The 27981-nt window shown below is 45.0% G+C and overlaps 1 protein-coding gene and 2 long non-coding RNA genes across 4 annotated transcripts in view, besides 1 other annotated feature; 1 reads left to right on the plus strand and 2 right to left on the minus strand.

Annotated features, from left to right (window-relative positions):
- CLSTN2 (calsyntenin 2) overlaps positions 1-27981 on the plus strand; it is a 642213-nt gene that overhangs the window by 511470 nt on the left and 102762 nt on the right. For both annotated transcript variants that reach the window (NM_022131.3, XM_017007022.3), the window contains exons 6-8: positions 1865-2050; positions 12867-13115; positions 19956-20077. In NM_022131.3, coding sequence (NP_071414.2) covers positions 1865-2050; positions 12867-13115; positions 19956-20077 — 557 coding nt within the window. The remainder of the gene's footprint in view (positions 1-1864; positions 2051-12866; positions 13116-19955; positions 20078-27981) is intronic.
- On the minus strand, positions 2833-5883 carry LOC124900599 (uncharacterized). Its single transcript, XR_924548.3, has 3 exons — positions 5799-5883; positions 3288-3389; positions 2833-3122 (listed from the first exon to the last, which is right to left on the minus strand). It is a non-coding gene; the product is annotated as an uncharacterized LOC124900599 (long non-coding RNA).
- On the minus strand, positions 5931-27905 carry LOC105374132 (uncharacterized). The gene is made up of 3 exons (XR_007096117.1): positions 27858-27905; positions 8003-8099; positions 5931-6011 (listed from the first exon to the last, which is right to left on the minus strand). It is a non-coding gene; the product is annotated as an uncharacterized LOC105374132 (long non-coding RNA).
- Positions 19999-21198: an enhancer, noted in NCBI's record as "P300/CBP strongly-dependent group 1 enhancer chr3:140185495-140186694 (GRCh37/hg19 assembly coordinates)". NCBI's record gives its function as "activates an origin of replication core promoter dependent on BRD2, BRD4, P300/CBP, MED14 and CDK7 cofactors, with strong dependence on P300/CBP, by STARR-seq in HCT116 cells {active_cell/tissue: HCT116}" and the evidence as "EXISTENCE:reporter gene assay evidence [ECO:0000049][PMID:35650434]".

The following is a 27981-nucleotide window of genomic DNA, read 5'->3' on the forward strand; positions in this document are numbered from 1 at the left end:
GGCTTGGAGACCTTCAATAACCTGCTCAAGAACTTCCTGACCTTACAAAGCCAAGCCAAGATTGTTGCTGCATCTGCTTCACACATGCTTCCCTGAGGCTTCCCCCAATGCATTTGTCCTTGATATTCAGGCCTCAGCTCAGAGGTTAAGTCTCAAGCTAAAGGAGCCCCTCTCTATCACTGGCTTTTCCTTTCATAGCACTTACTCCTTTCTGTTAGAGCAGCACAGGCTTATTCATCACCTGCCTCTCTCCCTAGGCTCCTGACTTGTTCACTGCTGTACCCTTTGTACTCCAAGCAGAGCCTGGCACATAGAAACAAACCCTGAACAAATGGTTGCTCAGTGAACAAAGCCGTCTGGCTAGCCCCAAAGCCCAGTCTCTTCCAAGATACCGGTATCACCATGGTGGCTCCAGTGGCCCATTGGGAACTGAGTAGCCTTCTGGTAACTGCAGCCTGATACTGAGTCCCACAATGCAGGACTTTCTGAGTTTCTCATGGGTGAGGTCAGGCAACTTTATAGATTTTTATTTCTACTTCAGCAAAGGGATATCATCTAGCAATGTTCTATGTGACAAACATTTGGGATTAGTAAACTAATAGCACCCATAACTCACATTGCTTGATGAGTCAGAATCACTCTTCTGCACATAAGTCTGGCTGAGGATGGCTGCACAGCCGTCTCAGACATGTGTCCTCCCAGAGCGTGGGATGCCCGCTGTGGGAGGCAAACACATGTCGTCAGTCACTGGGAGCCTGCCTTGAGTCCGCTCTGACTTTTCAGGTGCTGCTGTTATTATATCAGTCAATTCCTGTGTACATTCACTTGTAGAGTTTGTATGTGTTGATTGCTGTGTTCTTGCATGGTGCCATTTTAATCGTGATTTTGTTCCTCTCTAATGCTTTATCATTTCCACATTATTTTTTCACTAAAACGCAGTGACAAGACCATGAGACCTACTTCAGTAACTCACAGTTCTGAGTGTCTGAGAATCCTTTCACCCTACCTTGTGACCTCATGAGATCCTTGAACAACCATGCTTCCTTTTGTTTTATAACAAGGCACATGCCTTCCTAAAAATGACCACGTGAGGCAAAGTTAAAAAATGGGGTGAGGGGCACAACACTCAAAAATGTCATCGGTGGCACATTAGAAAAAAAGGAGAAAGAGAAAACATTAGCACAATATTGCACAAGTACTACAATAAGTATGGCACCTTGCCTTGAGGAGATCTGACGTTTGCCTGTGAAATGAATGTAAGAAGGTTGCCTCCCCAGGTACTGAAATAATCTGTACAACAAGCCCCCATGACACAAATTTACCTATATAACAAACCTGCACATGTACACCTAAACCTAAAATAAAAGTTAAAACATAAATTTTGAGATACTAAAAAAAAGGTTTGGGGATGATGGGGGTTGCCTCTGGTGTGTTGTTGTGAAGTCCTTGAAGGAGTATCTGGGAAATGAATGAAAAGTTGTAACTGCAGGCGTGGACGGGTGTGGCTCATAACACATGGTGAACTAAGTGGCTGGTATATGTTTGAGGGTGTGACTGTGTGTGTGTGTGTGTGTGTGTGTGTGTGTGTGCTCATGTGAGTATGCACGTGCCTGCACATGTTTTGTGTATTCCTATGTGGCTCAGTGCAGCTGGGTGCAGTTTTCTGTGTTTGCCTAGTATTTCCCAGGGAGGAAACCCTGCATAAGCAAATGTAAAACTGCCATTATTCTCAAACTGTTCCCTAATATCTAATATATGTGTTGGGGCAAATAATTCGTTGGAACAAATTCACATTTCTAAAAGAAATGTTCCAGCAGAACTGACTGCACCTGATTCACTTTTCATCCTTTCCTTGTTTGTTTAGACTGGACCAAGAGGATTGAGTACCAGCCTGGCTCCGGGAGCATGCCCCTGTTCCCCAGCATCCACCTGGAGACGTGCGATGGAGCCGTGTCTTCCCTCCAGATCGTCACAGAGCTGCAGACTAATTACATTGGGAAGGGTTGTGACCGGGAGACCTACTCTGAGAAATCCCTTCAAAAGTTATGTGGTAGGTTTTTCCCTTTTGGGATTTTAAAAATCAATTGCTTTTAAATGATGTATACCAAAAAAGCATATCTTATTGTCTTAGGCAAGAATCAACCCTCCCTTCCTGCACTGATATGTGTAACTCCTGGATGGATTTTAAGTTTACTTATGGCAGAAGGGTTGGAAGGCCCAGTTTTTGGCAGTAGACTCCTGACTCAGACTCCATTTATTAGTTATGTGGCCTTGGGCAAGTGACATGGAAAAGCAAAGCCTTTGCTCTTCTTTGGTAAAACGGGAATTAAATGGCACGATACTTTCAGGAGTACCTAGGTCAGGGCCCAAAGAAACACGAGTTCCTTTCTGCCCCACTGGTTTAGAAAAAGCAATCAGACCAGACCCAGTATGAAGAGTTAGTAGTGTCAGTCACCTGGAAAGGGATTGGTCTCCTCCCCAAAGCGCCAGCTATATAATTTGTGGGGCCCAGTGCAAATGAAAATTTGGGGCTCTTGTTCAAAAATTAACAAGAGTTTTACAACAGAGACAGCAAAGCATTAAACCAAGTAAACACAACTAAGCCTTGGGCCCTATATGACTACTCAGGTTGTTACTGACAAAGCTGGTCTTACCAAAGATGGAGTCTTTCCTTATTCAGTATCACAAAGCCAATACACAAAACCAAAAGTGAGTGTCAAGCAGTGCAGGCTTTATTCAATGGCCGTGGAATTGAGAAGCAGGAGATGGCTCACAATCAACTTCTCAACAAGTGAGGGTGAGGGGCTTAAGATACAGGATTTCTCTAATGAAGGAGGTGACATTAAAAGAAAAGGGAAGAATATTCATGTCTTTTCCAGAAGTGGGTGGTGAACCTCCTGGAATCAGTAGTACCGCCTCCCTTTTAGTCCTTTTACGGCTTCTTCCAGTCATTGTCATGGCAATTGTCAACTGTCGTGGTGCTGGAGGGAGTATCATTTAGCATGGAAATAAGATTATCATGAAGACTGAGGTCTTTTTGAAGTCCTTTGGTCAGCTGTCTTGGTTCTATGTACCAGTCTCAGCTGGTCTGGCTGCAAAGGGAACTTTTTATCACAGGCATTCTGTTTGTTAAAGATAAGCAAAGTTAGGACAGGGTAGAAATTCAGCTCTGTCACATAGTCACTGCCCCAGGTAACAAGGTCACATGCCCATGAAGCTGAGTCTGGCTGCCCACAGCAGAGAAGAGCTTGGGGTGAGGGTGACGGTAGACAAAGGAAGATACTCACTTGTGAGGGACAGAGAGGGCTTGTTGTCATTTGGCTGTGAGATGGCGCCACAAGAAAGGAGGCAGGCCAGGAGTTAGGAAACAAAGCTGATGGAGGGGTGCTCTGAAAGGTGGATATGGAGGAAAGCCAGCTTCACTGAGCACCTGCTCTGTGTGCCCTGCCAGCCTCTTCACATGCATTACTTTATTTAGTTATCCCATCTTCACCATGAGGAGGTCACCCATCCCATTTTAGAGGTGAAAAATTTGAGGCCCAGAGAGTGAAAATGACCTGTCTAAGGTCACACAGATAGAAAGCAACAGAGCCAGGATTTGAAAGTAAGTCTGTCTAAATGATGGGCATTTTAGCTCAGTATCCACTAAGGCTATCCATCCAGGCCTCCATCCAGGCCTCGGGAGCTAGAATGTAAATCTCTCAGTGAGTCTGTGAAATGAGAAAAAGAGCATCTCATAAGGCGAGAAGTGCCTCATGTGCTTAGTAAGTCAGACTGTTGACATGGTGATGGGCCTCCTTCACTCCTACTCCTGCACATAGTTGATTTCTTCCTTGTTCTCTCCCAAAATACTCAGGAACTCACACTGGACTCTCCAGCCATGTTTGGGAGCTTAGGAAAGGGCTTACTCTTACAGTGGGCTTGTATTTGGAGGTAACTGCATCTCCTCCAAAAGAAAAGGAGGCTGTGAATGCACAGTCTAGCCTGCCTTCCCCCAAGGTGGGCCTCTCCACTATTATCTTTGGGGCAGTTTTTCTCCCTCAACTTTCACACATACGTACACACAAGCACATACACACACATACACACACACAAGCACACACACCCCTTCACCCACACTGTTCTAACCCAAGGAACCAAGTAAAAATATTTAGAACTGAATGTGAAATAAACTCTGCTTGATATTGTCATGTTCCATTTTTCACGTCACCAGGCTGGCAGGGAAGGCCTATGGGGCTGCACACCTCTCCAGAATGATGCAGTAGATCAGAAAAATCACCACAACTTCAATATTCCATACAGCTCTTGCAAAAATGGTTATAAGGGATCTGCACTATTCAGAAAACCACCTCCAGTCCTCTCCTCCATTCTGCAGCAGAGAAGCCATCTAAGATGACATCTTACTTTGAAGGAATACCCTACTTTGCTCCCCATGCACCTGAATTATAAGTCAACGGAACCCCAGGCCACTGTGGGTTAGTTAGCATCGTTTCCTAAACTCCTCCAGGTTAGGAAGAGATGATGGGATCAGCTTGTTAAAGATCAGATGGGCCCAAGGGCATGCACTTGTGATTTGCTTTTGAATGTTGCTGGGGAGAGATGGGGAGATATGGAGTGTAATAAGGATTTCCTGAAGGAAGAAATTTTCGAACAAAATTGCATCTCATATGTTAACACAGCTCATTCCATCTGTACTGCCAACCTTGCCTTGCAGAAGGGCAGGTTAATTCAGCCAGCAAGGCCGTTTCCCCCAAGGTGTGGACTTATTTGGAGTTGGGAGCTGCCCTTTGAAGGAGAGAAGCCTGTGTTTCTCTCCATGGCACTGCCCCCCACACCTATGGTAATCCTGTCCCAATAACCCTGCTGAGCAGGATCAGTCCTGCCTCTACATTAGAAGCCTGGCTTTTGAACTGCACTGGAGGAGAGCTCAGATAAAAAGGGTGAAAGCAAATGAGTGAGGCCCAGATGCAAATCCGATCCTGGGGTCAGCTTCCATGTAGGGACTCAGGTTCTCTCCAACTATAAGGGAAATGTAGGCTGGATCACTTCTAAAATGGAAGCTGGGTTGTAATGCCTGACTCCTGTAGGGTACTTTCAGTTCCAGAGACAAGTTTCTGTGTGTCTTCAGTGGATGGTAGACAAGCTTCTTGCTGGGCTTCCCAACTGGGGAGCTGCCATGACCATTTAAGCCTCAGTATTCATGCATTTTTCATCCTACAAATCTTTATTGACTTTGGATGGAAACAGGGAGACCAATGAGGATATTAGAGCCATGGTCTAAGCAAGAGATAATGAGTTCTGAACCAGGGGAATGGCAGGAAAAATGAATTTAAGACAGGCTTGGAGACAGAAATCAGCAAGACTCAATGATTGATTAGCTGTCAGGAGTAAGAAAGGATTCTAAGAAGGCTCTTGTGTGAGTGTCTAACTGAATGAGGGTGCTGCCAACCAGAGCCAGGTATCCAGGAGCAAGGGCACACCTAAGGGACAACGATGGCAGTTGCCTGTGGTATACCCTGGTGTGGACACCACATTCTAGCCTGATTCTTGACCCTCCCAAAGATCAGCCTCTACCCTGCTGATCCATTACTACAGCACATTTCGCCCTGATGTTCTGCTTCTGCTTGGTCAGGGCACCTGCTTTGGTCCCTCTGCCTGGTTCCTTCTCATCCATAAGCCTTCACTCACATTCTCCTCCCACTAGGATGGTCTCTCTCCCCTTCACCTCTCCAAACCCTTCCCTCCAGTCAGCATTTGCCTGCCCTCTATGCACACCAGGAGTCAGTCTGTGGAGCTACCTTGGTAGTTTGAGTTCTGGAGTCTCCTCTGTGATGCTGTAGTCGTGCAGTAACCTAGCCACGGATATCTCCTCAGAGGGTCATCATGGAAATCTGGACATTGCCCACCTGCTTCCTCCTCCTGCAGTCTAGACCCCATTAGGAGCAATGAGGGAATCTGGTTTACTGGGGAGCTGGACAGTAGCTGGTGTCAAGCCTGCTGTCAGGAGGTACCTGAGTAGATGGAGAAGCACTTGAAATGACTCTTTGGGCCTAGGGAAGCATTGGATGTCAGGCATATTGCTTCATGGGTTTATGCATGGAGACACTGCCATTCTGCTTTGTACAAAAAAAATGGAGGTCCCCTGAACCTCTGTGTCCCCTTTAGCTTGTGGGGCCAGATGTAACTCAAGTGGCCCCCACCTTCCTTTGCTCTACATGAAGCCAGGCTTCCTAGAGAAGCAGGACCAACTGCTTATCACTTCCTCTGAATTCATAGCTCCACATGAAGGACCATGCCATCTAGGCACCAGGCTTTCCAGAGGTGCGTGTCACAGAACTATTTTGAGTATGAGATGAGAGTGCAGCCCTCAGTGAGACCTCTTGGCCAAATTAAATGTGACATTAACAACAGCCCAAGAAAAGGTCCACTTTGATGGCCCTACATCACTACGTATTACAGAAACTAGAAAAGTAGTCGGTGGTGCATATGCCCTTGGTGGTGCGAGGCCAGGAACCTTGGTGGTTCCTCATAGGGACCACAGGGCTCCTGGCTGCTGGCCAGTACCTCCTGCACATGATGTCTGGGTCAGCTGTGTTGTGTGGAGTGAAGAACACTGAGGGCAGGTCCTGTTGAACAAAAGACCACAGAGTAAGAGCATGCTGCAAAAATCATGTGGTTCATGTGTCAGAGCAGTGCGCCTGACCAGACCCTAAGTTGTTCTCAGGATTTATATACATGTGAGCCCAGGAGACTTTGGTAGAGGGCTCATTCATCATTCACTCCTGCACAAATTTATTAATTCAACAAATATCTGTTGAGTACTCAGATGCTGTGCCAACTCTTAAAATAATGTAGAGATTAAAAGATCATGTAGTTCTAGTGTTGTATTACACAGTAGGGCAACTATAGTAATAATACTGTATTGTATATTTCAAAATAGCTAGAAGAAAGCAGTTTGAATGTTCTCACCCCCAAAGAAGAGATAAATATTTGAATGGTAGATTTGCTAATTATCCTGAATTGATTATTACCCAAGGTATACATGTATCTAAATATTGCATTGTATCCCATAAATATGTACAATTGTTATGTGTCAATTTAAATTGTTTAACGTAAAAAAATTCAATCTTCTGGAGAAGACAGACATGTTAAGAAAATTATAATGCAATTTTTTTTAGGAGCTATAAAAGTTCATGGTTTTCTAGTGCACCTTGCAGCTCAACAGAACTTGTTCTCACTAATAACCACCATCAGAGGTTTTCACACCCTCATAACAGCCCAACTACAGGAAACCATGATGGGTTTCTTTAAGACACTGCTAAAGAGCTGGAGCTTCCCAGCATGACAGTGTCAGTCTACTAGTCATAGCCAGTGCCTCCATTCGCAGAGAGATGAAGTGGGCCTTTTACTTTAAGGAAAATAGGTGAACACCTGTTGGAAGTCTGATTAGATCCCCAATCATACAACAGTGAAGGGCTGCACACACTGAGTTATGGATGCTGACAGTGAGCAGTGGGCTTCTTTCTTATGCTTATTTCTTGCAGGTCATTTAAGCAACTACAATACAACATGGCCCACTATGTTGGGGAGGAGGTTTTTGCCTGCAGTGACAAAAACATACCAAGCTGGAAAGCAACTAGGTATCCATGGCTCTCACTCAGGATCCTGGCCAACCACCCAGATGAAGCAAAACCTAGTTTCCTTCACCTGGCAATCCAAGTTTCTGATTCCAGGGCCTTGGAGGAACTCCTCTTTTCTAGGATTCTAGAAGTGAAATGATAGTTTTATTGTGGGATCAATAGTGTGTGAGCTCCTGAAAGGACATCAAAAAGTCCTCTGTGCCTATGCTTAAGGTACACGGATAGAGAAATGGGAATTTTAACTGCTGATGACAATCACTGATATAGATTATCAGTCGGGGTAAGACAGGTTATGCTGTAGTAACAACTGACCGCAAACTTTCACTGTGTTAAAATAACAAAGGTTTATTTATCATTCTTACCACATGTCCTTGGATTGGCTGTGGCTCTGCGCCATGTTAGCTCCCCACTAGGATCCAGGAAAATGGAACAGCTTTGATCTAAAACATTGTTGATTTCCTGGTAGATGGAAAAGATGCATGGTGAACCACAGATGGGCTCTTAAGGCTTCTGCTCTGATATGACATATGTCACATGCACACATATTTCATCTATCAGAGCAAGTCTCATGGCCAAGCTGATATCAGTGGGTCAGAGATTTGTGTTGTGAATAGAATACATTCTACCACCACAAAGTCCCAGCAGTCCATACGGCACTTGTCAAGAGGGCCTCCCTCACTTCCCCTGAGATTCTACATCACTGAACTCCTCCACCCACCAAGCTTCTTCCTTCAGAAAATAAAAGACTTTCATTGCATCCCCCAAGGTAGAGCCACTTCTGTTGGGTTCATTGCTGCATTCTCATGGCAGTGCCTGTCATAACTTAGATATTACATAAATGTCTATTGGCATAATATGGAGTTGATATTGCCAATTGTGAGAATATCTTACAGAGTGAGGCCTGTGTCCTTGATTATACTGGATCCTCTCCCTGAGATTCCCCACTTATCCCTGCCCTTTCTCATGCCCAGAGGTGGACCCTGAGGAGGCACAACTGGTGGCCCCATGTCAGTCACTCTTGCCATAGGCTCCCTGAAGTGCTAAGGAACCTCTGGCCTCACCAAGGCCATCTAGAGAAGAATGCAAATTCATCAATTAAGAAGTTCAGACAGTAACTGCCATCCCTAGGCCCCATTTGGGCTTTTGTATCACAGTGTGCCCTGAAATCTGCCTCATTCATTGTGTCTGTATCTATTTTCTGGCTCAGAGTGGCTTCCCCACCCTGCTAGGGCCCAGGGACGTCAAATCAGATCTCATCCCTGGTTTCAGTCCCCCAGCACTCAAGCTGCAGCTGCTGTATACAAGACCAGAGTGAATCCTCAGCTGCCTGGGGCCCCAGGGACCTTCACGGAGGATTCCAAAGGAGCATCTTAAATACACCCTGATGTGTAGACAGTGCTGTATCATCACTGCAAGTGATGCATTCTGTTTACCCACTGCCTTCCCAAGGGATCCCTGGGGAGAAGAGAGACAGAAAAACCTTGGAGAAAGTAAATCTTCTCAGTTTGTTTAAATATACCAAAAAATGAAATACAATCTGTTAAGTTTGTGGAAGTCTGCACCATCTGGTTAAATGCAGCTTGATGGTTTCTGGCAGGCAACATCTGCGGGTTAGAGAAAGTGGCCTGCCGCTCCCCCTCAGCAGGGAAGACAAAAGAGCCCCACCTTATGGCTTTGCCAGGGCATATGTCCTCAGTGTGCCCCTCTGTCAGAGCAGTGGCCTGTGTAGGGAGGTGGAGTCCCATGTGACTAGGCTGTGCTTGGCAGGTCATATGATTGGCCCCCTGAACACTACTGTGTGGTAGAAAGAACACTAACTGGGTATCTGAGAGCTGGGCCTGCTTCTAGCTAGCTGTGACTGTGTGCTTTTGGTCCAGTCGTTTCCCCTCTCTGGGCCTCAGTTTCTATGTTTGCAAAATGAGCAGAAGGTTACAAGATCTCCCTCCAGGTCCACTGAGGAGGTGCAATGGGGAGCATGGGCTTTGGAGCTGGGAAGTCCTGGTGATGGGTCCACTCACTAGCTGGGTGCCATCCTGGGCTCACTCTGCCTAGGGCTCTTTATCTGTAACCTGGAATCTTAACGATATTCACCGCGCAGATGAGTAACTAAAAAGCATGTGTAAGGCTCTTAATTCAGGCCTGGCACCCATTCTGTGCCCAGTAAGGGTTCATAGGAAAACAATAAAGTTCTGTAACTATAAAAAATAAGGTTATATAGGCCAGGCGTAGTGCTCGTAATCCCAGCACTTTGGGAGGCTGAGGCGGGCAGATCACCTGAGGTCAGGAGTTCAAGACCAGCCTGGCCAACATGGTGAAACCCCATCTCTTCTAAAAATACAAAAATTAGCCAGACATAGTGGCGCATGCCTGTAATCCCAGCTACTCAGGAGGCTGAGGCAGGAGAATCGCTTGAACCCGGGAAGCAGAGGTTGCAGTGAGCCAAGATCGCGCCACTGTACTCTAGCCTGGGCGAGAGCAAGAGTCCGTCTCAAAAATAAAATAAAATAAAATAATAAAAATAAAATAAATAAGGTTACATAAATATTGGATATATCTATAGAATAACCCTGACCAGCACTGGGTTATTTTGTAACCAATTTTGTCTCCCAACCTTCCCTTGATGTCATCCCCCATCACCCCATGCATGGTCCTCTCTGCTGTGTACCTCTCTATATATATCCAAACCTGTTTGGAGGGAAATTCACAATCAATTTCTTCACTAGTCTAAGGTATTAATTGAAGTGTGAATTCTATAGGAACAGCAATGTCCTTAGCCAAAAAAAGGACCCTCTGGTGGTGGAGTTTCAAGCCCTGCTAGACCCCACCCTGCTTCCCCTGTGCAGAGGCCTTGGTGCTCCACATGGTGGCAAAGCTGGCCTCTGCAGCCACCACACACACATCTCTGCACCGGGCCCTGCTAGATCATATTGGTCCCATTGGCTTGAGCTAGAAGTCAGAAGCCCTGAGTGCTCAGCCTGCATCTCTCTGGCCGTCCCAGGTTTCAGGAACCGACATGCTCTGTGTGTACCTCTGTCACCATCTGTCTTCACACTGGACAAGTTTTGGTATCAGACCCAACTTAATAGGTCAAAGAAACTATTGCCATGTTGTGTTATTCCAGGGGTACTAGGAAAATGCACTTTCCCCAAAAAACCATGTATCTCCTACTTCCAAACCACTCACAAATCTCTCTCTGCTACCACCTTGATAGATGTCTTTCTTAGAAATATCTGTGGAGGGTGGTATTAAAGGACAGCAAAGATTTTATTGGCAATTAAAACATTTGTATAAATTAGTTTATCACATAAGTAACATGGATATCAATTAAGGAGTTAGCAGCAGGGGGTGAGAACAGGTAAGTGTGATGAGAGGCGTGGAGCGTGGACAAGGGGCTGGATGGACCCACCTAAGCATTGGGTGAATTTCCAGGAGCATCTCGTGAGAGCACTGAGTGGCAATTATAAATATTAACTGAGTGCCTACTATGTGTCAGGTGCAGTAACAGACAAAATCTCTAGGAAATACTCATGTAAATGATGCCGTCAACTCTGCCCACACTTCCCTTTGATACATACAAACTACAGCATGAGCATGAATTGGGAGATTTTAATCTCTACCTTCACAGACACCACAATTCCAGAAGCCTCTCCCAGAGTGAACCTGTCATGGTGAGAAGCAGAGCATCTGGGTTCTAAGGATACATGCTCTTCACATAGCATAACCTTCTATTGCTACCCAATGGATATAGACCTGATGATCTCCTCCACAGATGGAGGGAAAACTGGCTGAGTTGAACATTTTCAAACAAGTAAACTGATTTCCAGCATGGCATCTTCCTTGAGGAATCTTCAAAGGGTCATTTTAATGGTAGGAGATTTTTTTTTTTTTTGTAGTGGCTGACTTTGGAACCCAAACCCTAGGTGAGATGAGGCTCTGATATACAAAAGTCAAAAATCCAAAACCTGGGCAAATGGCAGGTAATACACACAACCACTGTCCATTAAACCCATCAGAGTTTATGACTGACTGGTCAGTGCCATATGAGGAAACAGCCCCCATACCCCTGCCCACCCAACTCAGGTCACACTTTAGACTCCCATTATTTGAAAATGACTGCAAGTTCCTGGCCCTCCTTCCCGTAGTGCTTGAGCCCTGTCTGTGTATAGAACAGAAGGATGGAAAGAATTCTGTATTTGAGCCTCTGTGGAGAGTCAGCGGAGGCCCCAGACCTACCCAGCAGGACAATCCAGTCTTCTCTGGCAGGACAGTTGTCGCCTCTCACCTCAGCACCCCCCTCCACAAAGTTGGTGATTCTTCTAAAATAAACCTGCCCCCACTCCTGCTGCCTCAGATGAAGTCTTCGTGCCTTAGCCTGAGTACTATTATAGTAGCAGCAGAAATAATAATAATGACAATGATAACATGATAGCTAACACTGAGTGAACCTTCGCCATGCAGCGAGCATGCTACTGCAAGCTCTAATGCATTATCTCATTCAGCCCTCACAACTCGCTGGAAAGAGGAAACAGAGTCAAAAAGGTCAACTTATTTGCTCATAGTCACAAAGCTAGCAAATTTTGCTGCCAGGTGTCAAATTCAATTTCTGCTGACTTCAAAACCTGTGTTCTCAACCACTGCATCATTTGGCCTCAACAAATATTTGTAAAAAAGTGTAATGAGTGGCTCATGCTCCTTCTTATGGGATCAGGATCTAGAACTTTCCCCAATCACAGCCCTGATCACATTTTGTCAACTTGCTGGCTCTGAACTGTGTCTGACTCACCTTCATAGAGCCAGCACCTAGAAGGGGTCTTGGCACATGGTTAGTGCTCAGTAGATGGCTGGCAGGTTAACAGATGGATAGGTGTGTGAGTGAATCCATCCATCCAAATCAAATCCTGGCTTTCTCCAGGAACCCTCCCTGCTAGTAAGAGCCCCCAGGGTTTTTCCAACTTTCTAAATTCCTCCGACACTTTTTTCTTGCATCCTATCTTGCCACATGCAGCACTTTTGTCTGTAAGTTACTGATGCCTCCCCAAGAAAACCATAAATAACTCAGGGGCTGGAACAGCATTTAGCACTTCTTTTCCTAAGTCACATAGCTCATGGTTAGGCACAGACGTCTCTGAGTAAGTACACTGAGTAGTTCACCTTGACCCAGGAGCAGAAAACAGATGAGGACACCGCATCATGACCTGTTATCCTTTCTTTCCTGACCCTCTGCAGGAGCCTCCTCTGGCATCATTGACCTCTTGCCATCCCCTAGCGCTGCCACCAACTGGACTGCAGGACTGCTGGTGGACAGCAGTGAGATGATCTTCAAGTTTGACGGCAGGCAGGGTGCCAAAGTCCCCGATGGGATTGTGCCCAAGAACCTGACCGATCAGTTCACCATCACCATGTGGATGAAACACGGCCCCAGCCCTGGTGTGAGAGCCGAGAAGGAAACCATCCTCTGCAACTCAGACAAAACCGGTGAGTCTCTAGCCCAGCCCTTCCACCCCTCCTACCCCAGCAGCTGCCCATTTTGTCACAGGTGGCTGGACATGGACACAGCCAAGGAGGATGTGGAAGAAAAGCAGGAGCCTGAGAGGAACCCTGCCAATATATATTCTGGTCTCTGGTTTTCTGGCTGCTGATTTTCCAGGCTTGGCTTGACGTAGAGCAGGAGCAGAAAAGTGGGGAAAGTAGGGGTACAGACACAAAGGATGTAACAGCTGGAATCAGTGCTTTTCAAACTAGATTCCTCAGAATGCTAGCATTCCCAGAAGTGTTTTGGGGCTGCTATAAGTGAGATGGGGGTGAGAGAGGAATCTTTATTCCTACTTCAAACAAAGAAGCTCCACCTTTACTGTATTAGATACAGTAAGATTTCCAAAAGCTATCTTTTGAATAAAGTACTGCTAATTTAGAATAGTAGTTTGAAAACCTCTGACATATATAGTAATGATAGCTACCATTCGATAGGCTTTTCAGCATGCTGAGCCTGTGCAAGAAGTTCACGGCTTGGTGGTTAAAAGTCCCCTAACACTGATTAGCTAGGTAACTTTGGCAAGTTGTTTAGCCTTTCTGTGTCTCACTTTACCTGTCTGTGAATGGGACGTTATAGTAGTATCTACCTCACAGGGTTCTTATGAGGATTGAATGACTTCATAATCATGAAGTGCTCAGAACAGTGCCTGGCACAAAGGAAATATGATAATCTGTGTTAGCTATTACTATTCTAAACACAAGTCTCTATAATTATTTTATAAAAGCCTTATTGTTTTTGCCATTTTAAGGATAAAACATTCCTTAGAGGTTGACTAACTTGTCACAAGTAGTTATACAGACAGTATCAGAACTAGAATGTCAGCTTAGATCCAACTAAATCCAAACCTATGCTCTTGTCACTACACCCACCCATCTGCACACACACATACACAAACATCCCAAGATCTTATGCAAATTGTACAACTCTGCATTTAATTATAATTCTACAATTTCCCATTTCAAATACAACTTTTGCTAAAACACCCCAAATAAATAACAATCACAGCAGATGTAACAGTAAAAAGACAATATAGAAGAAGGGCTGAAGCTCGGCCTCTGCTATTGGACAGCCAAAGTTTCCATCTCAGCTTGACCACTTCTTAAGGCATGATCTTTGAGGAGTTGCTAATCTCTCTGAGCCTCATTTTCCCCGTAGGTAAAATGGGGAAAATAAACATGAAATAAAGTATGAAATTACTTAGTAGCATCACATGCATAAATCAGTGTTCCAGTAATTTATTTGATGTTGTTATTATTATTACTTCCAGTTTTATTCCTCATTACACACTGCTACAAGAACGCCACATTCTCTGTTTCAATTGATCTTTATAATAAATGTTAATATATTTTCTGGATGCAGAAACTGAGAGGTGCCTGGCTTTCCCTATTTATATAGCAAGTCTATGTAGAAGTCAGTGCCAAGGACAGGTTTTTCTTTGGGACCTTCACGCAGGAAGGTGGAGGTTTGGGACGCAGTTCAGTAGCCTGTGCAGTGCCCTGTGAGGTATTCCCATCATAATCCAGGAGCCAGCATCCCAATGAGACAACAGCCTAAGAATGTGCAGACAAATACAAAGCAGTGTGAGCTGGGGTCAGTGGCCATGCACATATAGTCCTTTCTGAGCTATATCGAGTCCCCAGGGAGGTAAGTCAGACAGATATAAATGTTTCTGCTTACAAAGGAGGAAATTGGAATATGGAAGGCTGAGTGATTGGCCCAGGATAACACAGATGATTACCAAGAAAGACAGGATTGGACCTAGATCCTCTGACCCTGTGTCCCAGGCCCAAGCTATTGCACCAGTGGTCCTCATTAGAATATATTAGTGCACTTGTAAAAATGTGTAGATGCTAGAGCCCCACCCAGCTCAATAAGAATCTTGGAGGAGCCTAATGGGAAGCCATGGCTGAACTTGGCCTCAACTGTCATCCCAGCAGTCCCCTGAGAAGGCATTCAGCACCCCCAAATTAGCAGCACCCCAAGCAGCACCCAGTGTTCAGCTTGGGCCCTTATGTGAAACAACACTCAAGATTGGCACAGAGAAAGTGGGAAGATATTTCTCTAACTTTTCTGACAGCAAGAAAAAAATCTATAAATACCCCATCCTAAATTAAAAAAAAAAATCCAGAATAAATGAAAGCTTGATTATGGCTTTTTTACATCAAAATTTTTTTCAAGTCATAAAGCAATGTATGTCTATAGTGGAAACATGAAAAACACAGAAAAGCATAAAAGAGAACACAGAAATTAACTAAAATCCTAACCACTAGGGAAATATTTTCTGATAACATTTAGTACATTTCATTACAATGTTATTTTTGCTTCTGTGTATATGTAGAATGCCTTTAAACTTTTATAATATCTGTGATATTATTATGTCATCAGTTACCTTTATATAACATTATCTCCACATCATTTCTCCATGTGATAAAATATTTTTAAAAATATGGATTATTTGGGAGTTTAAAACTCTGCCATGTAGATTTATCATACTTCATGTCACTGGCCCCCTTTCATTAGATATTTAGATTGTCTCCTTTTAAATGCAAACACAGCAATGCTGTAAAGAGTATTCTGGTATATACCTTTTGGACATTTCTTATTATTTCAGCCAGAAGTTGAATTACTGATTCAAATAATAGAAATGTTAGGAAAGGAAGCTTTTGCTGTAAATTGTCAAATTGCTCTTCATGAAGATTGCACTAAGTTTGTCTGGTGTACTAAGTAAAACTTACTAATGCTGTTCCATTATAAATTATTTTATAAATAGCTGGATAACAGAATTGACTAGTCAGCAAAGGCTAACTGCAAAAAAGAGAGAGAGTACCACTAACACCACTACTTCCACCAAGAAAAACATCTCAGTAGGTAACATTCTTTCCCCATGGTTTTACCTCCTGTCATTGTCCAGCAGCCCCACATGGGTCTGGAGGGTAGGCAAGCTCTACTTTGCCCAGAACACTCAGTAGCCAAGGATTCTTGCATCATCTGCTGCTGCCATTTTCAACCATAGAACAGAAAGTAAGGCTAGAGCTGAACACAGAAGGATTTTATTGGCCAGAATAGAAAGTAGCATGTTTGACTTCTAATACACATTCCATTTGCCACAACTTGGTCACATTGCCCCACCTACCCATGGGGGAGGCTGCGAAATGAGTTTAAATGTGAACCTAGGAGCATAGGAAATAGGGTTAGGTGAACACATAGCCATGTGTCTACCTTGAGGTCATTGTGTGGGGCCCTGTGCCCCTCTAAGCCCACCTGTGTTGGGGTTTACCTCTCCATTCCTCCCATGAACAGTGCACTTTCCAGTCACCTTCCATGATTCCTCCTCAGCCCCTGCCTTGTCGCAGTAATCAATCCCCTCCTACACACATATCAGCTCCTCTTGCTGGAATCTTCTTCCCCTGGCATGCAGCCCTTTTCTGTCTCTGAGTTTGAACTGAGAACAATGAATGATCAGTGGCTACGTACAGTGCTAGCCACTTCCCTACAGGGCTTTCTAAGAGAGAGGGGCCAACCTTGTTCAGCAATCACCAGGTGAGAGAGATGGAGATGTCAGCCTGGTAGAGAGTGCTAGGATGGTCCCCCTGCCTGCTAGGAAAGGGATGGGGGTATTTTCACACTTACAGAGGTACCCAGAAAACCACTCAGAAGGATTGAGGTTGTTGTCTGTAGAAAGGAAGTGAGAACCTTACTTTTGCTGCCAGTTGGCTGAGCTGCAAACACTCTTAAGTCTGCTCCAGGCTGGTGTCAGAGCAGAGCCCAGGCGAGTCCTGGAAAGGCCTGACTCATGTCAAGTTTAGGGTACATGAAAGCTTGGCCCTGATTCTTGCCCAGGGTGTCTGAATGCAAGTGAATGACGGGGCTGCCACAATTATAGGGTGAGGAGAGAGGGGCCAGAGGGAGAGCAGGTTCCCTGGTACAATTTGGCAGAACACAGGTGTTTTTGTTATTGTGGGCCAAAGGGACATCCAGAAATGTGCAAGGCTAGCAACCAGAGGGCTGCCTGCCAGGAAGAGGGGTCCCAGTAGCAGGAGCTGATGCTGGAGGGGATTCCTGAGAGAAGGGAGAAGCTGAGGAGGAATTATGGAAGATCAACTGGAAAGAGCATCTTTCGCATGAGGAATTTGCCGCAAGCACAAATGTCCCAGCCACCCAGAAAAGGAGTGTGTCACTTACCATATCAATTCCTATGTAAAGATTTATAGCAGGGCCATCCTTACAGAGGGTGGGGAGGTGAAGATGGCAATTTGGAGACCTCTGCAGAGCCGTTGGAAAATGAAAAACTCTACTGGCTTTTTAAAGAGACTTTATACTTCTTTTCCTCTCATCCATATTCCCCTACCTCTGACCATGTTTAGAGCTAGGAGGAGGTTGGGGGATGAAGACGTAGAACAAGAAGAATGAAAGATCTTACCCCGTCCTTTCCCTATTGTGGGCCACCAAGCCACGGGTAAAGACTGAGTGGAGAAGAGGAACATCTATTTTAACTGGATGAGAGACTGATGTTTGATTTGGATTAAACCCTTCAAGACTATTCTAATTCAAGAAAGTGAGCAGAAGGCTTTAGGATCTACCTGAGACGTGGACAGAGAGAAGGGAAGAAAGATTCAATGAAGAATTCCTAAGGACAGGAAAAGGAATAAAATGGATTCCTGAGCAAATCACATCACCAACACAGTGAATAAATCAGGTACCCTGGCATATGAGTTGACTCTTCGAATTCAGAGAAAGGGAGTAGAAGGAGGAAGAAACTTCCCAGGCTAGAAGCTGCTGTAGTAGAGTGAGGTTTGCCCATCCATTCTTCTTGTTCCACCTCCTTAGCCCCAACCTCTCCTAACTCCAAATAAAACTAAAGGCAAAAATTCTTCCTTTCTATATTTCCTAAGAGTTATCAACAGAAGCCACAGAAAAGTCAGGTATACAGTGATGAGGGGGACAAGAAATCTTTAGTAAAATCCCCAGAAGCAGTCCCGGGTGTTTTGCCAATCCAGACGCTAAAAATGGTCCCCCAGATGTTGGCCGAGGCCAGCCCTGCCACAGTAAGACCCTGACCATTCTCCTTCCTGCCATCCTTTGGTTATGTTCTCAAGAATGGTGATGCTTTCCTGAAAGCACTACTTCGTTGTGTTGCCCTGGTCATGAGGCAGTGTGATAGTCCTTCTAATAAGTAACAGTTATGGAGCATTTGTTCTGGGCAGATGCATTCCACACATTTCCTCATTGTATCAATTAAGAGGCTTTCAGCTGCAAGGAGTGGAAAGTCCAGACCAAACTGATATCAGATAACCAAAAAATCAAACTAATACAGAGAATGTGGGTATCTTGTAACTGAAAACATCCAGAGCTATGAAGGCTCATGAAGTCATCATCAAGGTAAAGTGTATCTAAGGCCTGGCTCCTTTTCTCTGCAATTATTCAGATCTGTGCCTGTAAGTGTATCCATTTTACATTAGCAAATATGGCCGCACAGCTCCAAGCCTCCCAGTGGTATAATAAAACTTCCAGCGGGAAGGAAAGTATCTCTTCTGTTTGCTTTCTGCTAAAAGAGCAGTTCTCTCCCAGAACTGCTGAGAAAAGTGCTCATATCACTGGCTTGAACTGAGCCACTTGCCAACCCCTGACAGAAGTTTTGAAGCCAGGAGAATGGCCTGCACTAGGAACATGGTCATGGATCCTGAACAAGTCATGTGCTGGGCGATTCTCATGAGCCTGTTTGGCCAGGAGCAATCAGAGCCCATCCTAGAAATGTAATTGGTATTGATTCCTCCCACCTAAACTGTATAGGCATGGTATATACAGGATGTACAGGAATTGGTAGCAGTATTCCATTCTTGGGATACATTATGATAATCCAGCTTCAATGTCATGATATAGTTAAGGAAACTGAAGCTCTGAGAGGTGAAATGATTCTCTCAACATCACCCAAGTTACAACTCCACCCAAAGTCTATCTGAATCCAGGGCCCATGCTCTTTCCACTACACATGGGCACCTGCTCATCCAACCAACATTATGGAACACGCGCCTCCTGGTAGATGTCTGGTGTGTTCGATAATGTAATAAGGTTCAAGTTCTCTAAGAATTGGTCAAAGAACATTTCCTCTTCTGCCAGGATCCATGACACGAAATTTTCTAAGCAGGAAAGGAAGTTTCTACATTAGAGGAAAACTTCCCATTAATTGCCTGTGTATGGGGAGGGGATGTTGGAGTCACAAAACTATCTCTAATGCTGGAAAATCAACCTCTCCCCTCCTCCCAGCAGCTAAAAGTGAGGCAGCTCTGCTTCATATAGATTAGGTAGACAGAGAAGATGTGGTCACTGTTGTCACTGCTATCTGATGAAATAAAATAAAAACCCAGAACTCTAGAAGAAACCAGTATGTTAAAGGAGCACAGAGTGACTGATGTGATTGGCATATAGCTCCCTAAACCCTCCAGAAGCATCTGTAACCAACAAACAGGGAGCTTGTTAACCTAAGTAATTTGTACCCTGGGACTGATGCAGTATCTGAGTACAAGTTAGGTGGGTATTTAAAGTCCAGATGTCTTCTCAGCAAGAGTTTGGCTGTGGGTTTTCCTGAGTCTTCCTCTTCCACTTTGGAAGAGCTCTATCATGTGCGTTATAGAACTATCATCAGAGCCTGTTGTAAATGAGAAGACTGGAGTGCCCATGCCTTTGTCCTCTGTGCTGTGCTAAGTGAGTGAGCAGGAAGACTCCTCTGGTGGAGGCTGACACAGGGGTTCTCTCACTCTTCAAACCTTCTTTCTGCTTTTCAGAAATGAACCGGCATCACTATGCCCTGTATGTGCACAACTGCCGCCTCGTCTTTCTCTTGCGGAAGGACTTCGACCAGGCTGACACCTTTCGCCCCGCGGAGTTCCACTGGAAGCTGGATCAGGTATGGTGCTCACCTCACACCTGCTGCTACTCATGCCTCTGCGGGGGTGGCCAGTCCAATCCAATGGTGATGGCAGTGGGGAGGCACTGCAAGGTCCTGACCACTTGCTGAATTTTGGAAAAATCAGCTTAGGGAGACACACAGCATCTTAAAGTCAGGAAGGAAACTGCCTCCTTATAGCCAGGTGAAGGTGGAAAGGGATACGCTTCCCAGCTGGGATGCTGCTGGGTCACTGGACCTGTCATGTGCCGTTTGTCCATTTGCTCCACATCGAGCTTGTGGAAGCCAGTTCTCCTGATCCCCAGGCCCAGTTACGATCTCTGTTAGCACATCTTTAAATCACAAATGCTCCATGTCTTCCCTTGGTGCTCTACTACCTCCTTTGGGTGACACAAGGTTGAGGACAGGGACTTGAGGGCTTTGAAGTAAGCAGTGACACAGAGCACCTTAGGCAGTGCATGCTCTTTTCTGAAGTGGAAAAATCTGTGACTCACTCCAGAGCCTCGTGACTTTTGATCACAAGAGCCACTGCATCATACTTTCAATGACAAAGCAAGTGTCTGGTGTGACTCCAAAGCTTTGAAGTATGTTTCTGAGGACTGTGGAGCATTAACGGTGGAAGTAGTACTCACTTTTCTGGGTGGCTGTGCCATCAGGAAGCGTCTGTGTAGCAAGACTAGAGTTGGCCTTTGCTTAAATTTGAAAGGGACCAGGCGCTAATTGTTCAAAAGTGTTTTAAATTATCAAGAGAAAGAATGCCAGCAGTCAGAAAATGGGATTAAGGAATAGATGCTGCTTAATGAGGCAGAGGAAATGATGCCCTTTCTCTGACCCTTCCTCCCTGGGGCCCCAGGACCTCATTTTGTTTTTATTCTGCCCCTTCCATATGCTGGGCTAAGCACTTCTGGGACCCCCAGTCTTCTTTACTTCGTCCAAAGCCCACTGTGTGTACTACACTACCTGCCTCACCTTGCTGAGGGCTGACTGATTCATAATCCTTTCCCTTCTCCATCCTTGTTACTATATCTCCACCCCCACCCTCTCTCTGTTCCATCCAAGTCTCCAGTCCTCCAGTAAGCTGATCTTAGAGTGTTACTAGGAAGTATTCCAGGAGGAATTCATTCACACTGAGATGGAAATGATTGCTGCCACCTTTCATCCTCATAGAAGTACACATGTATGTTCTCTAAAACAAAGATTCATTAACTCTAAGGAATCTCTCAATGGTGGAACTCCAGGCAATGTGACAAGATTAAGGATGCCAAGCTGATGGAAAAGTTGCTAGGGGAGCCCAGTGGCAACTGCCTAATCCACTCCCAGTAAATCCCATCCTGCTGTATGCTAATTCTAAAAATATGGCATCTTGATTAGTCTATGTTCCTCTGAGTTAGGAATTCTGAATCTGGCAGGAATTGTGAAATCTTGACATTGTTTATTTTATTTCTCAGCAACCTCTCAGCTATGTCCTAAAGTGCCATATGGCTTTTATGGGATGTTTTAAAATATATAATACAAATTGAAGTGAATTAAAATAAATTCCATATTGTGAGGGTTTTTAAAATAGGAACACTGCTATACTGGTTGAGATAATTATAGATATCCTGAGGCATTTTCTAAGATGGGATTGAGAGGCATTGATGCAGGCAAATGAAGCCATGGGCTTGGAAATTAAAAATAGGTGAGGAAGGAATTCTGGTTCTGAAGATAAAGATATAGTGAATCTAGCAGGTTCTAACATCTGTTCCCAAAGTGGTGAATTTAAGGAGGGGCTGAGATTCACCAAACACATTCCAAACTACCCTGATCTCATTGACTACCGTTTATCAATGCCTGCTCTGTGCTAGGCAGGATGCACGTGGGAAATTATTCTCGTCTCTGCTACAGCCCTTCCTGGTGGCTAATGTGTGGCAAGAGACTGAGGTCCAGTAGCTTGCGCAAGGTCACACAGCAAACCGTGGGTAGGACCTGCCCTTTCCATTATGCCCGGCTGCTGCTTTGGTGTGCCAGCTAATTCGAAATTTTAAAAATTTGCATTTCTAAATTTACAAAAATTTTAGAGATCAGAATTATCACTGAAGTACAAAATGTTCATAGTCTTGATGAAATCCTCTAAAATGGTCACTTCTTCATTTTGCTCAAGCTGTCCTATTCTTTGTCAGCTCAGGCTGCCATAACAAAGTATCACAGGCTGAGTGGCTTAAATAATAGGAATTTATTTTCTCACAGTTAAAGGTGGTAGGAAGTACAAGATCAAGGTGCCAATTTGGTTCCTGTTAAGAGATCTCTTCCTAGCTTTTAGAGGGCCTCCTTCTCACCATGTCCTCACATGGCAGAGAGGGAGCACTCTTGTGTGTTTTCTTCTTATGAGGAACCAGCCCTATCGAAATAGTGGTCCACCCTTTTGACCTCATTTAACCTTAATTACCTACTCAAGGTCCTAGCTCCAAATATATTGGGGGTTAGGTTTTCAAAATATGAATTTGGGAGAGGCACAATTCAGTCCATAGCATTCCTCTACTAAAGAAATTAACATTTAAAAAGTTTAAAGACTGCCTGTTGATGATCAGAGCCCCAGCTCACCTGCACAGCTGCCCTCCCTCTGAAGGGAACCACAGTGAGTAGGGTGTAGGAAACCTCAACAGTTCCCATGCTAGCAATCCAGTGGTATATACTGAGCAACCCAGAGACCCCTCTTTCTCCTTACTCAGCTCCCTGTGTAGACAGAACCTTGCCAGAAGTTTCTTGGGTGTAAATCACTTGATGCCCAGAATGTGCATACCTAGTAAGGTCACCTCCCCCAGGAAGCCATCCTGGGTCACCCCCATGGGTGGTTTGCCTCTCTTCTCTGCTCCCCAGTCTCCAGGCAGAACTCCATCCCCATTCCTACTGTTCTGTAGTTACCCATTTATCCTGCCTGTCTGCTCACTTTGCACTGAACTCCTGGAGGGCACGGTCGTGTCTTACTCATCTCCAGCTCTTCTGTGCATGTTATAGGCATGAGCACATGGTTGGCGCCTAGTAAATGTTTGCATAACAGTGAATGGATGTCAAGATTAAAAGAAGGGAGAGATGAAGTGAGGCAGGGGAAGAGGGAGGGAGAGAGGAAAGAGGAAAAATCCAGAGATCTTTGAAAACCTCCGGGTGATTAATTGATCTTTAGACTCATTTTATTGAGCATTTTAAAATGCTTAAATGTTGCCATTTTTTACTCTCTGGATTTCAAACATTGTTCATCTTTGATCTTGATGTCTTATTTCAGGATCTTACTAGATTTACCACCAGTGGATTTGTAACTGTTACAGAACTTTCTGGCCTTGGCCAGAAAGGACTCAAGCCAGTCTAATGTATTGTCTATATTTTAACTCCTGGCCTACCTTGGGAATTTCAGCATTTTATCTGTTCTAATGCCTGATGGGGACTCGCTTATTTCTTTATTCAGCAGTTTATTCTGAGCACAAACTGTGCTCTAGGCTCTGTGTGGGGTACCTGGGATTAGTAGCTAAAATAAGAGTCTCTGTTCTTTAGAAGTTTCCATGATAATGGGTCAAACAAACACATCAACAGACAGTTTACAGTTCCATGTGATAGGCACGGTGGGCTGGGGCCGGATCAGGGGAGTCTGTGGAAGCCCATGCAGGGGCACCTGGGGCTGAAAGCCTGGGAAGGCCTCTGGGAGGGAACATCTGCAAGGAATGTGGAGTTCTCTGTGGTGCAGGGCAGGGCAGCCTAGTGGCAGAGCAGTGAGCAGGAGGGCTGGGGTCAGGGCGTGTGAGCTCTCAGTGTGGTGGGGCATAGGCATAGGCATGGGGCGGAAGGAGAAAGCTTTGACAGGTATTGGGACACCTTGTGGAGGAGCAGGTGGACATTAAACCCCAAGTGGCTTTTTATATCATATTATTGAGTTGGCGCTTTATCCCCAAAGGAATGGGCCATAATTGAAACATCTACTATTCAAGAGAAGACTGATAATTTTAGAGATGGGCAAATATAGGGAATTCTAGTATGACATTCATCAGATTTATCAAGTTTAAGCAAATATAACTCATGCGGGGCCATTGAATGGAGCCGGTGGCAGGGGCTATGTTAGAAGCCCCCCAGGAACCCCAGCCCTGGACAGACATGTTTGAACAGTGGCTCTTCATGGCACTGAAACCAGGCACAGTGGTTTTCACATAGCCCTTCAGGAGTGCTGCTGAGAGAGGCAGTTCCACAGAGGCACTGTGTGCTTTAGTCAGCCCAGCCCCTCTGCCCCGCACCGCAGCAGGCTCTGGCCAAGGTGGATGGACAGCCAGGTAAATCTATTACCAGGCAGCTCCAGGAGATGCCTGTGACAATCCAGGGCATCTCACTAAAGCCATCATAATGATGAGGAGAATGTCATTTTAATGGGATTTTCACTTATGATCCACTAATGCAAATCCCTGGAGCCTGCAGTGAGTCATGTGCAAACCCAGACAAAAGCAGAGGAGAGTGCCCAGCTGCCAGCACACACAGGATAGGTTGACTAACTTGCAGCCCCTCCTGGCTTTAATATCATTTGGATATGGTTGACTCAGTGTCACAATCTAATAATCTTCCCTTTGGACCTGGTATGGTGACTGCAGGGAAATCTGCTGATGTTTTACAGTATGTTCCACTTATGGGAAGACACAGCTTGAGTGACAGCCTCAATTGACCAGCAAGCGCACAGGTACCCCCAGCTCACATAAGGAAAAAAGTGCATCTCTGAAAAATTGCAACAAGCACAGGATGCAAATGTCGGATTCATTCAGTTGGCTGTTGCCCTCTCTGTGCCAGAAATTGTACTAGGCATCAGGGATCAAGAGAAGAACAACACAACTCCACCCTGGGGAAACTCAGCCCTGCTCAGTTTATACCCAGTTTACATATCCTTGGGAGCATCTTTTGCAAGAATCCCAAACTCTAATAATTGTGGGTGGGAAGAAGCATCAAGATGAGTGACAATACCTGGCTGGGTGAATGTAAGATTCAGTGGAAAGTAAAATAAAGTAATAAAGGTTTAGCCACTACACATCTATAAACTATACAAGAATCTGGGCCTCGTGCTGCACTTCCAGTTGCTCAGAAGTTAGAAATCAGATTTCTATGTAAAATTTCTCAACTTTAATATGTGCTCATTTACAAAAACAGATCATCTGGCCAAACAAAATATTCTGCAGTCCACCTTTACTCTCTGGTCTCTGGTTTGAGATTACTGATTTAAAAAGCTACTATGTTGATACAAGAAAGCCACACAATAATGTGTCTGAGAAGTTTGGATCCTCTTAAGAGGATTCACCTTTGTGAATGTTTCCAATTCTCTCTGCCCCTGCCCTACCTCCCACAGAGAATGCTAAACTCCCCGTATGAGGGGAGCTTCTCAGGTCCCCAGCAGCCCTTCACCATACCCAGAGGGTCCCTTCAACCCAGGTCCATGGTTTGGTGGTGGTATTCCTCCTTCTCATATAAATGAGCATAAGTCACAGCCCGAGTTCCCCAGAGCCAGGATTTGAGCACATTTGTCTTGGGCCAGAGCCTTTGCTTATCAAGTCCATTCTACTTGCATAGAATTCTAAAGCTCCTGGAAGGATCTAAAAGTGAATACATCCTTTATTCTTGGTGAGGAAAGTGTGTTAGAATGATGCAGAGTCAGTTTACTTGCATCTGCTCATTCGGTTTCACAGGGAGTCAAATAGGTTAGTTCAATCATTATTATAACCAAGTGCCAAGGAGTTAATTGGAGAATGGTCAGTGCAGTTCAGACCAGTCATCTTAATGAGCAAAATAATTGGGCATTGTCAGCACTCTAATCCTGCTGTTAAAGACTAGCTCTTGGCTTCATTGGGCATGTTTCTTCCAATGCAGCAGGCCACTCTGCTCGGCATCCCTGCCTGTGCCCTGCCCTCATTAAGACCATCTGTCCTTTAGGAACCAGTGTCCTAAACAGAGGGGGAAGGATGTCCAGAATGTCTTTTTTTTCTCTCTCTCTTTCAGGCAGAATTCCGAATGACTTTTTCTATGACATCAAATTGCAGGGTTGTTCTGGGTGAATAATATATGTATGTGTGTTTTGGGGGTAGGGAGACAGTCACAAATAGTGACTCACTTTGGATATGCAAAGTGAACCTAGTCTCTCTTTATTTCCCCATGATATATATGGCTTCCTGACAAGCCCCAGTCATATTCTAGTCCCTCTCCCTGACTGTTTCCATTTCAAAGAGAGCCTCAAGACATTTGGAGAGAGTTGGCTTCTGTAGCTTCATGGTGTTGGCAGAGAAGGGTCCTCAGACCCACATGGGACATCCTGGGCTTCTCAGGTCAGAGTTGTGCAATGGTTGGATTGTCCACTCTCTGGAAAGGTAGCTGCTGGCATGCATATCCCATTTGTTCTGCTTTCTTTTTGAGAGAGTGCCAGTGTGCTGGCACCCAGCACTGCACCCACTGCCTGAGCCATGCTCGTTCCATCTTAAAGCCCCTTTCCTGCAGCTTTTCATCATGCCTCAGATTCCTGCTGCATGGCTTCTCCTCATTACTCTCATGCCATGTCACCTTACCTGGCACCTCTGGGCTCTGTTAGGTGCCTGTGGCAGACGAAATAATGGTCCCCAAAGATGTCTACCTCTGAACCCCAGAAAGCTGTGAATATGTGGCATTACATGGCAAGACGGTGTTCGCATATGTGACTAAGTTAAGGGTCTTGAGATGGAGAGATGATTTTGGATTATTCTTATGGGCGCAATATAATAGTAAGTGTTCTTATAAGAGGGGAGGCAAGAGGGTAAGAGCCAGAAACAGAGATGTGAAGATGGAAGCAGAGGTCAGAATGATGTGAGACCATGATTCAAGGAATGCAGCAGCCTCTAGAAACTGGATAGGGAAGGAAACGGATCCTCCAGTACAGCCTTCAGAAGGGATGTGGCCCTGCTGACACCTCCATTTTAGTCCAGTGACATTCATTTCAGACTTCTGACCTCCAAAACTATAAGATAATAAATCTATGGGGGTTTTTTGTGTTTTTTTTTTGTTGTTGTTGTTTGTTTTTTTGAGACAGAGTCTTGCTTTGTTGCCCAGGCTGGAGTGCAGTGGTGCGATCTTGGCTCACTGTAAGCTCCGCCTCCCGGGCTCACGCAATTCTCCTGCCTCAGCCTCCTGAGTAGCTGGGACTACAGGCACCCGCTACCACGCCAGGCTAATTTTTTGTTTTTTGTTTGTTTGGTTTTTTTTAGTAGAGACAAGGTTTCACCGTGTTGGCCAGGATGGTCTCGATCTCCTGACCTTATGATCCACCTGCTTCGGCCTCCCAAAGTGCTGGGATTACAGGCATAAGCCACCACGCCTGGCCAAATCTGTGTTGTTTTAAGCCACAAAGTTTGTGGTAATTTGTTACAGCAGCAATAGGAAACTAATACCTCACTTGTGAGCCTTTGGGAGCCCTGGAGCTGCCTCAGGCTCATAAATCAATCCACCTCCCATCTCCCTACACCTTGCTGAGGTGACCCTGGGCCATCATTTCTGAAGAGGTGTGTAGGCTCTTCTGTACACCAGTGTATGATGTCTCTACCACAGGTCTCCACAGCCCTCCCCTTCCAGCTTGGGTACTAGGGAGGAAGGAGGAAGAGGCACTGCTTTTTAAAACCCCCATTCACTGCTTGCTCCTGGCTTTTCACCAGGCCTGCTTCCTTATAAGCCTCAGGACTAGGATCCCCATGGAGCAGATTTGGAGCTTTTCTTTTTCTCTAGTCACATTTTTCTAATAGATGAAGGTGCCAAATCGCCTTACCTGCTACAAGAAGTGGAAAAGAAACCTTTTGTCTGAGTCCTCTGTGCTTGGTTCTGTAAGTAGTAAAGCAAATTCATGAAATCCTCTTTCTCTTGACAGTGCTTCACTTGGAAGCTTAAAGTTA

Source organism: Homo sapiens, chromosome 3 (assembly GCF_000001405.40).
Source record: "Homo sapiens chromosome 3, GRCh38.p14 Primary Assembly".
Lineage (NCBI taxonomy): Eukaryota > Metazoa > Chordata > Mammalia > Primates > Hominidae > Homo > Homo sapiens.